The sequence below is a fragment of the Homo sapiens genome, chromosome 12, assembly GCF_000001405.40.
Source record: "Homo sapiens chromosome 12, GRCh38.p14 Primary Assembly".
Classification (NCBI taxonomy): domain Eukaryota; kingdom Metazoa; phylum Chordata; class Mammalia; order Primates; family Hominidae; genus Homo; species Homo sapiens.
In genome coordinates this window covers 42,348,689-42,365,011 of record NC_000012.12, presented here as the reverse complement: position 1 = coordinate 42,365,011, position 16,323 = coordinate 42,348,689, and the positions used below count along the sequence as shown (strand labels likewise).

At 39.5% G+C, this 16,323-nt stretch overlaps 1 protein-coding gene across 41 annotated transcripts in view, besides 1 other annotated feature; it reads right to left on the bottom strand.

The window, feature by feature from the left end:
- Positions 1 to 16,323, bottom strand: part of PPHLN1 (periphilin 1) — a 122,455-nt gene that overhangs the window by 83,610 nt on the left and 22,522 nt on the right. For 20 of the 41 annotated variants that reach the window (XM_017019434.2, XM_011538459.2, XM_017019436.2 and 17 more), the window contains 2 exons: positions 12,963 to 13,127; positions 9,790 to 9,851 (listed from right to left, as the gene is read on the bottom strand). The exons of 1 other annotated variant lie outside the window; for it this stretch is intronic. In XM_017019434.2, the coding sequence (XP_016874923.1) occupies positions 9,790 to 9,851; positions 12,963 to 13,127 (227 nt within the window). The remainder of the gene's footprint in view (positions 1 to 9,789; positions 9,852 to 12,962; positions 13,128 to 16,323) is intronic. 20 more of the 41 variants (NM_001364823.2, XM_047428973.1, NM_001364831.2 and 17 more) reach the window with 1 other exon arrangement.
- Positions 14,822 to 15,818: an enhancer, noted in NCBI's record as "OCT4-NANOG-H3K27ac hESC enhancer chr12:42742996-42743992 (GRCh37/hg19 assembly coordinates)". NCBI's record gives its function as "activates a minimal SCP1, AML or CMV promoter by ChIP-STARR-seq in naive and primed H9 embryonic stem cells {active_cell/tissue: H9 hESC(naive and primed)}" and the evidence as "EXISTENCE:reporter gene assay evidence [ECO:0000049][PMID:30033119]".

Sequence of the window (16,323 nt, the reverse complement as noted above, 5' to 3'; positions counted from 1 at the left end):
TAAAAGCATTCTAGAAAAAGTAGAACAAACGAAAGTATTCCAGGCATAAGATATGGACTAAGAGATCTTCCAACTAGAACTTTGTTTGTTTTTTTAAGGCGGAGTCTCCCTCTGTCGCCCACGCTGGGGTGCAACAGCACGCCTTCGCCTGCAAACTCCGCCTCCCAGGTCCAAGTGATTCTCGTGCCTCAGCCTTCCGAGCAGCTGGGATTACAGGAGCATGCCACCATACCCAGATAATTTTTGTACTTTTAGTAGAGATGGGGTTTCCCCATGTTGGCCAAGCTGGTCTCAAACTCCTGACCTCAGGTGATCCACCCACCTCGGGCTCCCAAAGTGCTTAGATTACAAGCATGAGCCACCTGCCTGGCCTTTTTAAAAATTTTTTGAGACAGAGTCTCACTCTGTCACCCAGGGTGGAGTGCAATGGTGTGATCACAGCTCACTGCAGCCTCAACCTCCCAGGCTCAAGCAATTCTCCCACATCAGCTTCCAAAGGTACCAAGCGCATGCCACCACATCCAACTTATTTTTTAATTTTTTTTGTAGAAATGGGGTCGCCTTATGTTGCCCAGGCTGGTCTCGAACTTCTGGGCTGAAGCTATCCTCCCACTTCAGCCTCCCAAAGTACTGGGATTACAGGTGTGAGCCACCACACCCAGCCCCTAGCATTTAAAAGTAAAGTATATTGGCCACTTGATGACACTCTTGTTCCATATTTTTCAACATTATATAATACTTCAAATCAGTTCCATCCTAAGATTTATTACTATTATTATTTTATTTTGAGACAGAGTTTTGCTCTTGTTGCCCAAGCTGGAGTACAGTGGTGCAATCTTGGCTCACTGCAACCTCCGCTTCCCAGGTTCAAGCAATTCTCATGCCTCAGTCTCCTGAGTAGCTGGGACTACAGGCACGTGCCACCATGCCTGGCTAATTTTTGTATTTTTAGTAGAGACAGGGTTTTGCCATGTTGGCCAGGCTGGTCTCAAACTCCTGGCCTCAAGCGATCTGCCCACCTCAGCCTCCCAAAATGCTGGGATTACAGGTGTGAGCCACTGAGCCCGACCGCTAAGGTTTATTATAAGATCTCATAACTACAGGGGGAAAAAATGACCTGAAAACAACCTCATTCTAAGTCACTAACTCTTGGTAGAGTATAGCATGTTTCTTTGATACAAAATGAAATAAATCCTGATATATTCTGAATTTCATCTATAAGTATGTTTTGAAAAAATAGACAATATAATCATTGTGTAAATACAGAAACAAGACGAGCAGGTGATGACACACTTGAAATGTAGATAACTTCACCAGGCATGCCCAAATATGAAAGTGATCACTTTCAGAGCGGGGCAGGGCAGTGGGGAGTGGGCATCAGGGAAAATGACAGAAAACTTGACACATTCTCTTTTCTTCCATTAGCTGTTATTTAATCTAGTTGCTTCCAATGATTCCACGCTTCCATTAGTAAAACACATTTGAATATAAACCACTAATACACGTATACTAGATTTATAAAGTATGTTCCACAGCATGAAACACATAACAAAATGAAAAAAAAATAGCTAGAGTATAAAGTTCCACTGCCAGTAATAGGCCTGTGGAAGATGGTGTGAATGCAAGGTGGCCCTGTAACACCCACCCAGTGGTGGCAAACTACAAAAAAAATTTTTTTTTAAATTAATTAATTAATTTTAAAAAAGGTGCTGGAGAGAGCAATAAGAAAGACTCATGGGGTCAGGATAATAATCACATTTAGGGGTGTGAACAAACACAGTGATGATACTGGTGTCAGGTCTGGAATTTGACTTTGCCTTACCTACAAGGTTATAAATTAAGACTGTTACTGTTTCCTGGATCCTAGCAGACTTCTGGGTCAGAGAAAAAACTTTATCACTCATAGCATAGCAACACAAGCATTGGCATGTTTGTGTCAGTTCTCTCTGGTACCAAGTCCAGGGGTAACATGATATAAGCCTAGATAAATGTGGCACATGCAGTGGGTGTGGGTCACAACTGAGGAACACTGAACTTAAGGAACCCACCATTTTTACACCAAGCAATAAGCAAGCCTGCTGTTTGACAAACAGGGAGACATTACTCTGGCCTTCAAGATTGCTCATTACAAACACATCTCTGAGAACTACCCTGAATAATGAGTGACCAGGGTCTTGCATATCTTGGCAAGATGTGCAGGAGTGCAAGACACCCATGGAGGACTGTCTCTCCTAACAACTGGGAGCCAGATTTCCCACAGATGGAAAAAGGAGATAAAAGTATGCAATAAAAGAAAAGGTAATGCCATGATCTCATAGTCATGAATACACATAAACACTGTATAAAAATAAATGCAGAAGTAAAAGTCTGTGTGTGTGTCTGTGTGTTCAGATTCTTAGCTTCAAAAAATCACTCTCCACTATAGAAGGCCCGTGCTCCTTGGAGAAACACCTGAATTTAGAGTGAGGCAGAGAAGCCTAAGAAGAGACTGAAACATCTTGTGTCAGAAAGAGGTGACCAAAGAATGACGTGGACATGTCAAAACAACACAGATGACCTTGGTTTGGCAACGGATTCTTAGATATGACACCAAAAGCATGAGTAACAAAAGAAAAAAATTAGATAAATTGGACTTCATCAAAATTTAAAATGTGCATCAAAGAATATTATCAATAAAGTAAAAAGACAATCAACAGAATGGAAGAAAATATTGCAAATCATGTATCACATACAGTTTAATATCATACTCCTAAAATTCAACAACAGAAAGACAAAAAACCCAGTTAAAAAAAATCAAAAAACTCAAAACAGACATTACTCCAAAGATATACAAATGAACAATAAGCACAAGAAATGATGTTCATCACCACTAGTCATCATTAGGAAAATGCAAATCAAAACCACAATGAGATATGACTTTACACTCTTGAGGATGGTTACACACATACAGACACAAACACATGGAATATAACAAGCATTGGCAAGAACGTGGAGCAACTGGGAACTTTATACATTGCTAACAGGAAAGTAAAATGGTGCTGCCACTAGGGAAAATGGCTTGATGGTTCCTCAAAAAGATAAGCATAGATTACCATATGATTCAGTAATTCCACTCTTACATATGTACCCAAAAAACTGAAAACACGGACTCAAAAGAGGTATTCGTAGGCCAATGTTCACTGTAGCATTATTCACAATGCCAAAAGTTGAAAACAATTCAAATGTGGGTTTCTGTACTCACCAGAATTAAATTAATTCTATTCAACACTGTCAATAGAATTAATGCTCATGAATTGTGTACATAAAAATTGTGTAAATGGCATACTTTATTATGTTACATATATTGTCACAAGCAAATATTTGAAAAACAAAACCAACCAACCAACCAACCACAGAAGCTAACTTGAAGGGACTCTCACTGGCCAAATTTAAGCATCAAAATAGTGACAGCAATGAATTACAACTCACTGAATAAAATAGGCATCTATTAGTCCATACATATATAAACAAAATTTTGTCTGTTTTAAGGGAGTAAAGAGGTGAGGAGAATGTTCTTCCTTACAATAGAATGCCAGCATAATAAATATAGAAAGAATGGGCTAACCACCCATTAAAACCCATTATATTTGTCTTAGTAGGGTTGGACTGCCGTAACAAATTATCATAGGCTTAAACAACAAACTATTTATATTTCTCATAGTTCTGGAGCTGGGAAATCCAAGATCAAGGTACCAGCAGATCTGGTGTCCAGTGAGGACTTTCTTCTTGGTCTGACGATGGTTGTCTTCTCATTGTATCCTCACATGGTGGAGAGCAAGCTCTTATGTCTCTTCTTAATAAGGCACCAATCCCATTCATGAGGAATCCACCTTTATGACCAAATCTCACCTCCTAAAAGGCCTAACCTCCTAATACTATCATAATGGGGGGCTAAGGTTTCAACATGAATTTGGGGGGACATAAATACTATGTCCATAATATTGATAATTAACTCAGGCAAAACCATCAGTGGATGCTAAAACTAGCAGCTGAAAGTGGAACAGGAAATGATTCAATCACATAGTTTCAAAGTATCTCCACACAAAGCAATTTCAGGGGGAAGGACAACTTAACAGTAAAGAAACTTTGCAGACTCCATCTTAAACAAGTGATAAAAGTCAACTATACCAATAAGGACACAAACAACATGTGCAGCCTATAGGAAGAAAAAGAATTCGGCGGCTGGGCGCGGTGGCTCATGCCTGTAATCCAAGCACTTTGGGAGGCCAAGGTGGGCAGATCACGAGGTTAGGAGTTCAAGAGCAGCCTGGCCAACATAATGAAACCTCGTCTCTACTAAAAATACAAAAATTAGCCAGCGGTGGTGGCACACGCCTGTAGTCCCAGCTACTTGGAGGCTGAGGCAGGGGAATCACTTGAATCTGGGAGGCAGAGGTTGCAGTGAGCCGAGACCACACCATTGCGCTCCAGCCTGGGTGACAGAGTGAGACCTCAGCCTGGGTGACAAGAGTGAGACCTCATCTCAAAAAAAAAAAAAAAAAAAAAAAAAAAAAGAATTCAGCATCACTTCAGGAACTGTCCTGGCAAAAACCTATAACCTAGACCTAATCTCTAATCATGAAGAAATGAAGAAACGCTGGACAAACCTAAACTGAGAAAGAAAAAAAAAAAACTTGCCCTGTATTCATCTTGCCAAAAACACTAAACCATAAAAATCAAGGGAAGACTAAGGAGCTGTTCCAGATTGAAGAAGCTTATGAAAATGTGATTTATGAGCCCAGATTCAAGTTTTTTGCTATAAAGCACATTACTGGGGACATTTCTGGAGACATTAATGAAATCTCTAGTGAAGGGTTACAGGAGTTTTCAGTTATTCTTGCAATTTTTCTTTTTTTTTTTTTGAGATGGAGTCTTGCTCTGTCACCCAGGCTGGATGGAGTGCAATGGGTGAACTCAGCTCACTGCAGCCTCCATCTCCTGAGTTCAAGTGATTCTCCTGCTTCAGCCTCCCGAGTAGCTGGGACTACAGGTGTTTGCCACCATGCCTGACTAATTTTTGTATTTTTTGTGGAGACAAGGTTTTGTCATAATGGCCAGGCTGGTCTCAAACTCCTGACCTCATGTGATCTGCCTGTCTCAGCCTCCCAAAATGTTGGGATTACAGGCGTGAGCCATCACACCTGGTCAATTTTTCAAATCTTTTAATATTTTCTTCCTACAGCACAAAGAATCACTTTGTACACCCCACTGACAAAAACAAAAATACTGACATGGCTTTCCTAACTGCTCAGAACATTACCAATAGATGTAACAATTCTCTTTGCACGGTTCACAATGCATTAAATCTTTTTCTACAACAACAGCTATTTTCTGTTCACAAAGTCTTTCAAGTAGGAAATCGTCAATGAGCCCACCTGATACAGAGAACAGCTTACAGAAGCCAGATAGATGCCAGGCAGTAAAAGCTATAGCTACTGTGATAGCATAAAACCTGAGACATTATTGAAGATAACTCAGACGTCAAGTGAAGACACAAGCAGGTGTGGACAGTACAAATACTCTCTATTCCCTGCTTTTTCTTTGTAAAAATTATGTTTTGTTATTTGTTAAATATGTATAATTCATATTAAAATGTAGGCTACATGAAGACAGAGGCTTTATATTCCCAGAGACTAGAAGAGCATTTGACATATTAGATACCACAAGAAATATTTAATAAATGAATGAATATACCATACAGAATGAACTCCATACTCTGAAAACAGAGAATATACCTTGTTTTAATGCCCATGGTACAGTTATGGAAGCTGATCAACTAATGAACCATTAATAATCAATGGATTTTGAAAGTAAAATTACAGTACAGGCAACATTGTGATCACAGAATAATTAGAATACAGTATGTCAGAATCTGTGTAAATTACTATATATCAGAATCATGGGATACTGTCATGGCACTACTTAAAGGAAATTTCAAACTACTTATATTAGTAAATAAGAAAGAAAAATAATTATCTAAATTAAAATGTTAAGATTTTTATTAAAAAAAATTAAACACACATGTTAAACCATTTTTAGCAGGCAAACTGACATCTATTAATATTTAAAATACATATATATACCCACTGACCCAGAAATTCTGCTTCTAGTAACCTATCTCGTAAAAACTAAAGTACTATTTCATGAAAATATTATGTACTAGAATTTACTGCAGCACTGTTTTGTACTGTAAACAGAGTGACCAGCTAAATTATTTGACATATCCTCACCATGGACTATTACTTGACCATTAAAAAGATTCAATTTGGCCGGGAACAATGGCTCATGCCTATAATCCCAGCACTCTGGGAGACCAAGGCAGGAGGATCGCTTGAGCCCAGGAGTTCAAGACCATCCTAGGCAATAAAGTGAGACCTCATCTCTACAAAATAGTTAAAAAATAAAATAAAATAAAATAGATGGGTGTGGTGGCACACACCTGTGGTCCCAGCTACTCAGCAGGCTGAGGCAGGAGGAATGCTTAAGCCTGACAGATCAAGGCTACAGGGAGCCATGATCACACCATTGCATTCAAGCCTGGGTGACAGAACTTTGTCTCAAAACAAACAACAAAAAAAGACTCAATTAAACAATCAAAAACCCTAAATGTTTATGAATATAGAGAAAAATATAGAAGAACTTATACCAAGATGTTATCATGGCTGTGGGGATTAGAGATTTATATATATGTTTTTATTTCATTTATGTAAAATGTTATATACATACACAAAATGTTATAAAAAAGAGACAGGAAGAGAAAATTAAAATTAACATAAAAACTGTTATTTTACAAACTGAAAAATCACAATGGGAAAGATATAGAATCAACCTAAATGTCCGTCAATGGATGACTGGATAAAGAAAATGTAGTACATATATACAATGGCATACGATTCAGCCATAAAAAAAGAATGAAATCATGTCTTCTGCAGCAACATGCATGGAACTGCAGGCCATTATCTTAAGTGAAACAACTCAGAAACATAAAGTCAGAGACTGAATGTTCTCACTTCTCACTAATAAGTGGAAGCTAAATAATGTGTACATATGGACATAGTGGAATGAGAGACAGAGATTTGGAAGGGTGGGAGGTGAGTGAGGGATGAGAAATTACTTAATGGGTACAATATACATTATTCAAGTGGTGGATACACTAAAAACCCAGACTTCACCACTACACAATATATTCATGTAACAAAACTACACTCGTATCCATCAAATTTATACAAATAAAAAATAATATAAATAAATAAAAACAATTAAGCTAAAATAAATTTCTTGGGAGGTATTTCTTTGGAGGAGAAAGATAAGCCACTAGCTGATCTAGTTTTTAAAAGTGTTTTACAATTCTGCCTTTCACATAGGTCTTAATTATGTCAGATATTATTTGGATATATCAGCTTCCAATGTCATGTTTTTGAAATGTTTGTCCCAGCACACTATTTATTGAAAAGTTCATTCTTTCTCCATTGGATTTGTAATGCCACTGCTACTGTACCCCAAACTCCAGATATATCTAGGTTTATTTGCAGATTCTGTTTCACTGGTCTATTTGACATCAACAGTACAACACTGTTTACATCACTACAGCTTTATAATTATGCACATATGGTATCTTGAGTCTTCACATCTTTTTCAAGGCATTTTTGCCATTTAGCCCTTTACTCTTTCATATTAGTCTTAAAATTAACTTGTCAACTTCCGTGCAAAATAAAAAATAAAAAAAATTTTGATCTTTGACTGGAACCAAATTGAATTACCACCTTAATTTGAGGAGAACTGACACTTATATGATACTGAGTCTTCCTCGCTAAGGATGTCATGATTCTCCTTTTACTCTGATTCACTTTTATTTCCTTTAGAAATGATTTGTAATTTCCTTGTATAGGCCTCATACTCTTTTGGTGAGTTTATTCCTATCACTCATTACAGTTTTCATGCTATAGTATTTTGAAAACAAATTTTCTAATTTATGCTGATAGTTGATCTTATTACATTGGACCTTGCTAATTTCATAATAGTTCTTACAGTCTATAGACTTTCCTAGATTTTCTGCATAATTATATTATCTTTAAGTAGTTGCGTTTTTCATTCTAATTCCTACAACTTATTTATTTTTCGCTTTACTGTAGGCATTGTTACCATGTTGAGTGGAAGCAGTGACTAGATGTCATTGTTTTGTTCTGATTTTAAAGCAAATGTTTCTAATTTTACCATTCAGTACAGCAAATGCCCAATTACCCGGTCAAGGAAATTCTCTTTCCATTCCCAGCTGGCTATTTTTATAACTACTTGGTGATTAATTTTATCAAAGCATTTTTTTCGGCATCTATTCTATTGCTTCTTTTGGAAGAAACAGTCTGCCATGGGTTCTGAATGTCCCTGCACATAATTGCCATGTATGCCAAATTCCAAGACCTAACTATCCACTGACACTGAACAGTTTCTGTAGCTGGTTACAGAGACAATTAAATAGGTTAAGGTGACCACAATGTGACTACTATGGCAGGTCACTCCCAGGGAAAGGAGGACTAGCTTGCTTTCTGCTTTCTACAAAAGGTACCAAGCTCTTGACCCTGGGTTCCACAGCCACAGTGTATCCCACTGTGTGCACAGTCACCATCTGTGCCTATCACATCGCCCTGTGGGATTTGGGGACAGGGAACCTACACTACAATGCTGATCCTCCTGCTGATTGCTGTGCTGTGAATAAAAATCTGTCTTGCTCTGATCCACTGAATCTTGTCTACTTTTGGCATCTTTGGAGTTGTGACAGTTGATGCCTTGCCACTCTCTATGAGACTGGGGTTATTTTCCCTGATAGTTCATAAGAAATCTCTACAAGGCTCCTTTTACAACTTTCGATACCACCACTGTGATGTCATTTAAAAACAAAAACTATCAATCAATTTAAATGTGTCCATCGTTTCTTTCCCACAACTATTCTATTAGATGCCCTCTGTAAGTAATCAAAGCCAACGATTGAGGCCCTTGCAAAATGTGTTTCCCAAAAGGACTTCACTAATTAAAGAAACTGAGATGCCTTATAATAGACTTTGTAAGAACCCAGAATACTTCTGAAAAAAAGCCTTACTTTCTAATTAAGCAAACCTATCAAATCAAATACTAATTAAGCAAACCTCATAATCCATACCACACATTAATAATTTAATAATTAGATTGCAAAACTAAATCACAATAGTTCTTTTTTTTTTTTTTTTTTAGACGGAGTCTCACTCTGTTGCCCAGGCTGGAGTGCAGCTGCACGATCTCAGCTCACTGCAACCTCCACCTCCCAGGTTCAAGCAATCCTCCTGCCTCAACCTCCCTAGTTGCTGGGATTACAGGCACCTGCCACCATGCCCAGCTAATTTTTTTTTCTTTTTTTTTGTATTTTTAGTAAAGGCAGGGTTCCACCATGTTGGCCAGGCTGGTATCAAACTCCTAACCTCAAGTGATTTGCCCGCCTTGGCCTCCCAAAGCACGGAGATTAACAGTGTGAGCCACCGCACCAGGCCCAAATATTTTTAAATATTTTTTTATGAGTTACAAAATGCCAAGAGATGTGGAACACTAGTTATCAGTGCTATTATACTACATAGTCACAAAAAGAATATAATGCTTGTTGCTTTCAAAATTTAAAATCCCAGTAAAATATTTCATCTATGTGCCTTGAGTCTATATTTCCAAAGCAGACATCACAGTGAGTCAAGTATCAAAGTACTTATGCTATTATTTTTATCCTTTTACCTGTATTCAGGTTGCCTGCTTGCAGAATGATCGTCTCTTGTCCATCTATAACCAGATTCATCCTGTAACATAAAAAAGCTACTTAGCTATTTGTTTACATTATTTTGGACAAGTGGGACATATCTAACAATACTACCAGAAACTAGACCGAATTTCCCTAAACTTCAAAGGCATAAAAAGGGAAAAACATTCAGCAAGTCATCCATTTCAACAACTGAAAGAGTAGACTGACTGAGAACCTGTGGTACCATTTATCTCTATTAAAATGCTTAAATTATTTCTTTGGTAGACTCAAACAAGCTAATTGCCAAAGATACATATATCAATATCACAACAGTAAAGGGCTATTTGAGAACAAAGTCTAAATTTAATAAAGCACACATTTCTCAACCTCACATTTTTCCTTCTGTCAAGTTCTCTCACCAATTTTCAGTTTCAAGCCCAATGAAAAACTTGCTACTTTCCCATTTTTCCTGCTCAAGTTTTATTTTCTCACCTTATTTTCAATTAAAAACCAAACTGGAAACAATATAAGAAACTGTCACTTATTGATAATCTATATCAGAATAAGATTTAAATTTATTTAAGTTTAAATAAATTTAAAATTAATCAAACAAAGCACATTTTGTTCTCTAAGACATATTTGCAAAGGTACATAAAAAAGAACCATATAGCAATCCACACCAAATTACTTTAAAATTACACACAGAATTGGCCAGGCGCAGTGGCTCACGCCTGTAATTCCAGCACTTTAGGATGCCAAGGAGGGTGTATCACTTGAGTTCAGGATTTCGAGACCAGCCTGGCCAACATGGTGAAACCCCATCTCTACAAAAATTAGCCGGGCACGGTGGCGTGCACCTATAGTCCCAGTTACTCGGGAGGCTGAGGCAGGAGAATTACTTGAACCCAAGAGCCGGAGGTTGTACTGAGCCAAGTTCTTGCCACTGCACTCCAGCCTGGGCAACAGAATGAGACTCTGTCTCAAAAAATAAATAAATAAAATTATACATAGAATAATACAATATGCAAATTACGTATCAGGAAAACGGATTCGTCTAAAATAAATATCCTCATCTTCCTCTTTAGCATCACACACTCTATTCTTATATAAATAAAATATAATCATTTTCCATCTCAATATTAAATATAAACACAATTCAAAACTTAACAGTGCTAATAAAATATTAAATCAAGTAATCTGCATTACATAACTGAACTCTATATAAGAATTAGTGTCATGAGACTCTTAAGGATCACAAGTATGCTTGTTGTTTGTTTGAAGAGAATTTAAAGAAAAAATGTTATACACACAAAAGTATAAAGACAAACACAATTGGTAACAATATTAGAAAAAACTGCCATTGAAGCTTTATTATGCTACAAGTTTTTAGAAAAAAAATCATTTTCATGAGGTTTCAAATACAAACTGGTCCAATGAATAGAAAACTCACATAGGATTTTCATAAAAGTGGTAACAACTGAGACGGTGCACTAAAATCTCAAACTTTCACCACTATTCAACTCATCCATGTAACCAAAAGCTACTTGAACCCCAAAAGCTACTGAAATAAAATAAAAATGTAATAAATATGAGGACCACAAAAAGCAGCATGACATTCAAAAGCTGAATAAAATAAAAATCAATTCTGTGAAAACTAAGAAAGCTATAAAACCCCAAACTTTAGAAACAAACACGAGAAAACACTGAATAGTCTCATTACAACTTTGGAATTGTTAGGGGTCACTATGATGCAGTAGTAAGAGAAACCAGACTCCCATACATACCGATCCTAAGTAAATCACCTTACCTCCATTTCTTCAAGCGTAAAGTATGAAAACTAATTCCAACAGCCAATGTGAGGTCAAATTATTTTATAAACAGGGTTTGAATATGTACTGTTAATTGTCATATTATACAGTAGGAAAGGGGGAAAAAGAGAAAAGGTGGGAAAACAACCTAGCTAAGGAATACTGAAAACATGCAAGGTAGGACAGAGGAATTCCATCACAGAATAGTATTAAGTTCAACTACAGATTACTGCATCATTAAATACATACTTCTACATTATTAAGAATGCTCAAGAGAAGCGAGTTGTAATAGTAATAATAGCAGCTAACTTTTTTTTTTTTTGAGACAAAGTCTCGCTCTATCGCCCAGGCTGGAGTGCAGTGGCGCGATCTCGGCTCACTGCAACCTCCACCTCCCAGGTTTAAGCAATTCTCCTGCCTCAGCCTCCCAAGTAGCTGGGATTACAGGCACCCACCACCACACCTGGCTGATTTTTGCATTTTTAGTAGAGACAGGGTTTCACCATGTTGGCCAGACTGGTCTCGACCTCCTGACTTCAGGTGATCCACCTACCTAAGCCTCCCAAAGTGCTGGGATTACAGGTGTGAGCCGCTATGCCCAGCCAGCTAACATTTTTAAATTGCTTCCTATGACGATGTTTTGAGTGCTTTCTAATCTCAGTTAATAAATAGACTTTAGGCTGGGAGTGGTGGCTCACACCTATAATCCTAACACTTTGGGAGGCCAAGGTGGGCCTCCCACTTGATCATCAAGTGACCTCCCACTTGATGTCAGGAGTTCAAGACCAGCCTGGCCAACATGGTGAAACCCTGTCTCTACTGAAAACACAAAAATTAGCCAGGCACGGTGGCACGTGCCTGTAATCCCAGCTACTTGGGAGGGTGAGGCAGGAGAATCACTTGAACCCAGGAGGCACAGGTTGCAGTGAGCCGAGATCGCGCCACTGCACCCCAACCTGGGGGACAGAGTAAGACTCTGTCTCAAAAAAAAAAAAAAATTAAGTGGGTTATCTAGTAAGAAATGGTAACCACCTGCTCATCACTTATTAAGTACTAAGACAACAGATTACCTTTAAATGGTTTTGCAAATCCCTGCCAATTTAGGGGAATAAAAAAAGCAGGCTGGTTGGAATTAATTTCATTTAGATAGTGCCACCCAGAGTGCTTACCTACTTTGTCCAGTACCCCAAGATTCTTGACTATTAGGTCCCATCTGACAGCTCCAGCAGGCAATTCACATGAGAGCATCAAGCAGAAAGTGTTTATTCAACTGCTTTCACGGCCGTCACATAAATTTTTAAATTACATTAATTTTAAACTTATAAGAAATAACAATTAGTACATGGGGGAAATTTACATACTCCTCTGTGAGGTGGACCACTTCTTCGATCATGAGAAAAACTGCGGCCCTCGTCATAGTCTCGGTAATCAACATGACTGTAATATCTATTGTAGCTTCCTTCACCAGGTCTGTCTAGCAGTGGTGGTTTCTTTGGCACAATATTAACTAGTCTATTGTAGCCATCCTAAAACAGACAAAAAGAAATATATACAAATGACTAATTTCTCTATTTGGTTTTGGAAAGGTTTTTAAAAAGCACAGGAGTTCTTACCCTTAATCGAATGAGCTAAATGTATAAACAAAAGCGTTAATGAAATAACATAAATATAACTAATACTAAGGTCTTCACATGGATTAAAGGAAATCAAGTTGTTCAACGAAGAAAGCCAGGTGTTCAAAATGACATGCAGCAATGCGAAAACCAATCATAAGTAAAAGAAAAAATACAATATTATCATTTTAGTAAAAAATAAACTTAAGACAGAATGTTACAGTAGCTCTATCCCTAATTGCCTAACAATTTTAGAAATAAAATTATGTAAGACAGCTCTCATATTTGTTCTACTATACTATTTAGAAGAAATATAAGCTATTTACCCACAAGCAACAGCTAATGATGATATTGAGCCAGAATGATCAAAAGGAAACATTTTGCTATTTTTCCAGCAGTAATGGAGGGAGGAGATTGGCTTTACAGGTCTAGAAGCAAAATAAAAGCTGATATAAAATTTGAACTAATTTTCAAAGTACTGGAATACCTTGTTAATGTTTTAAAAAATGAGTAGGTTTTTTGTGAGACTTGGGGAATTGGACGCAGGGAGAACATATGTCTTAGGTTAGTAGCTGCTATAAAATAACAAAAACGATTATCCACAGAAAGAAGTAGAGAGCTACAGAACATATATCTGTACATAATCTGGTCTTGGGCATTCATGACACATCAATCAATATCAAATGAGATATATGTTAAAAAAAAACTGTAAAGCCTGATATAACATAAGATCAATATGAATTAACTAATCTGGAAAAAAACAAAACCCTCTCCCTCTTCCCCTCCCCCTCTCCCTCTCCCGCTTGCCATGGTCTCCCCCTCTCCCTCCTCTCCGTCTCCTGCTTTCCAGGGTCTCCCTCTGTTGCCGAGGCTGGACTGTACTGCCGCGATCTCGGCTCACTGCAACCTCTCCCTGCCTGATTCTCCTGCCTCAGCCTGCCGAGTGCCTGGGATTGCAGGCGCGCGCCGCCATGCCTGACTGGTTTTTGTATTTTTTGGTGGAGATGGGGTTTCGCCGTGTTGGCCGGGCTGGTCTCCAGCTCCTGACCTCGAGTGATCTGCCCGCCTCAGCCTCCCGAGGTGCCGGGATCGCAGACAGAGTCTCGCTCACTCAATGCTCAATGTTGCCCAGGCTGGAGTGCAGTGGCGTGATCTCCGCTCGCTACAACCTCCACCTCCCAGCCGCCTGCCTTGGCCTCCCAAAGTGCTGAGATTGCAGCCTCTGCCCGGCCACCACCCCGTCTAGGAAGTGAGGAGCGTCTCTGCCTGGCCGCCCATCTTCTGGGATGTGAGGAGCCCCTCTGCCCAGTCGCCCACTCTGGGAAGTGAGGAGCGCCTCTTCCTGGCTGCCATCCCATCTAGGAAGTGAGAAGCGTCTCTGCCCGGCCGCCCATCGTCTGGGATGTGAGGAGCCCCTCTGCCTGGCCGCCCAGTCTGGGAAGTGAGGAGCGCCTCTTCCTGGCGGTCAGCCCGTCTAGGAAGTGAGGAGCGTCTCTGCCCGGCCGCCCATCGTCTGGGATGTGGGGAGCACCTCTGCCCGGCCACCACCCCGTCTGGGAGGTGAGGAGCGCCTCTGCCCGGCGACCACCCCGTCTGGGAGGTGAGGGGCGCCTCCCCCAGCCGCCCGGTCTGGGAGGTGAGGGGCGCCCCCGCCCGGCAGCCGCCCCGTCTGGGAGGTGGGGGGCGCCCCCGCCCGGCAGCCGCCCCGTCTGGGAGGTGGGGGGCGCCCCCGCCCGGCAGCCGCCCTGTCTGGGAGGTGGGGGGCGCCTCTGCCCGGCCACCCCCTCTGGGGGGTGGGAGGGCCCCCTCTGCCCCGCCACCACGTCTGGGAAGTGAGGAGCCCCTCTGCCGGGCCACCACCCCGTCTGGGAGGTGTACCCAACAGCTCACTGAGGACGGGCCATGATGACGATGGCGGTTTTGTCAAATAGAAAAGGGGGAAATGTGGGGAAAAGAAAGAGAGATCAGATTGTGACTGTGTCTGTGTAGAAAGAAGTAGACGTAGGAGACTCCATTTTGTTCTGTACTAAGAAAAATTCTTCTGCCTTGGGATGCTGTTAATCTATAACCTTACCCCCAACCCCGTGCTCTCTGAAACATGTGCTGTGTCAACTCAGGGTTAAATGGATTAAGGGCGGTGCAAGATGTGCTTTGTTAAACAGATGCCTGAAGGCAGCATGCTCGTTAAGAGTCATCACCACTCCCTAATCTCAAGTACCCAGGGACACAAACACTGCGGAAGGCCGCAGGGTCCTCTGCCTAGGAAAACCAGAGACCTTTGTTCACATGTTTATCTGCTGACCTTCTCTCCACTATTGTCCTATGACCCTGCCAAATCCCCCTCTCCGAGAAACACCCAAGAATGATCAATAAATACTAAAAAAATTTAAAAAACAAAACAAAACTTACAAAATATAAAGCCCAACCTTCAGAGCTGTTTATCTATCATCCCTGAGCCTGTAAAATGAAATTAATACTAACACCTACCTCATGGCACTGTGAGGACTAAATGAGAAATGGAATGCAAAGTGTTTAGTACCGTGTTCAGGCACACACTAAGTGCTCAAAAAATGTTTGCTATATTCATTACTACTGTGCAAATCTACGGAAAAAAATACTAAGTATCTCAAACTGTTTCCTTAAATTACTTCTTAGCCCTAATGACTACAACAATTCAATTGTTATTAAATGACTATATACTATTCAAATCTCTCAATAGCTAGGAAATTTGTCAATGGGTCAGGAAAAAATAAAATCAGTAGTTTGTATTTATTTGAGAGCTTAAAAGATCTAACTAATTTTTCCCATGGGGATGTAAGGTGGTTACCTCCTTTAGTATGTTAGATATTAAATTATAAGATATATTCTACATTTACATAAAATATGATACACAAATGAATATACTGACTCATTCTTCTACAAACTACCTTTCACAGAGATTTCAATTAAATTTAAGTACTAAGCTGCCCAAAAAAAAAACTGACATTAAGCCAAAATTAGTAAAATTACAATTTACATCATTTCTAATTGAAAATTTGTCACTCATAAAATCAGAATAACTGACTTCTCCAAATTCCAATAAACCATAACAATCCATTACACAATATCC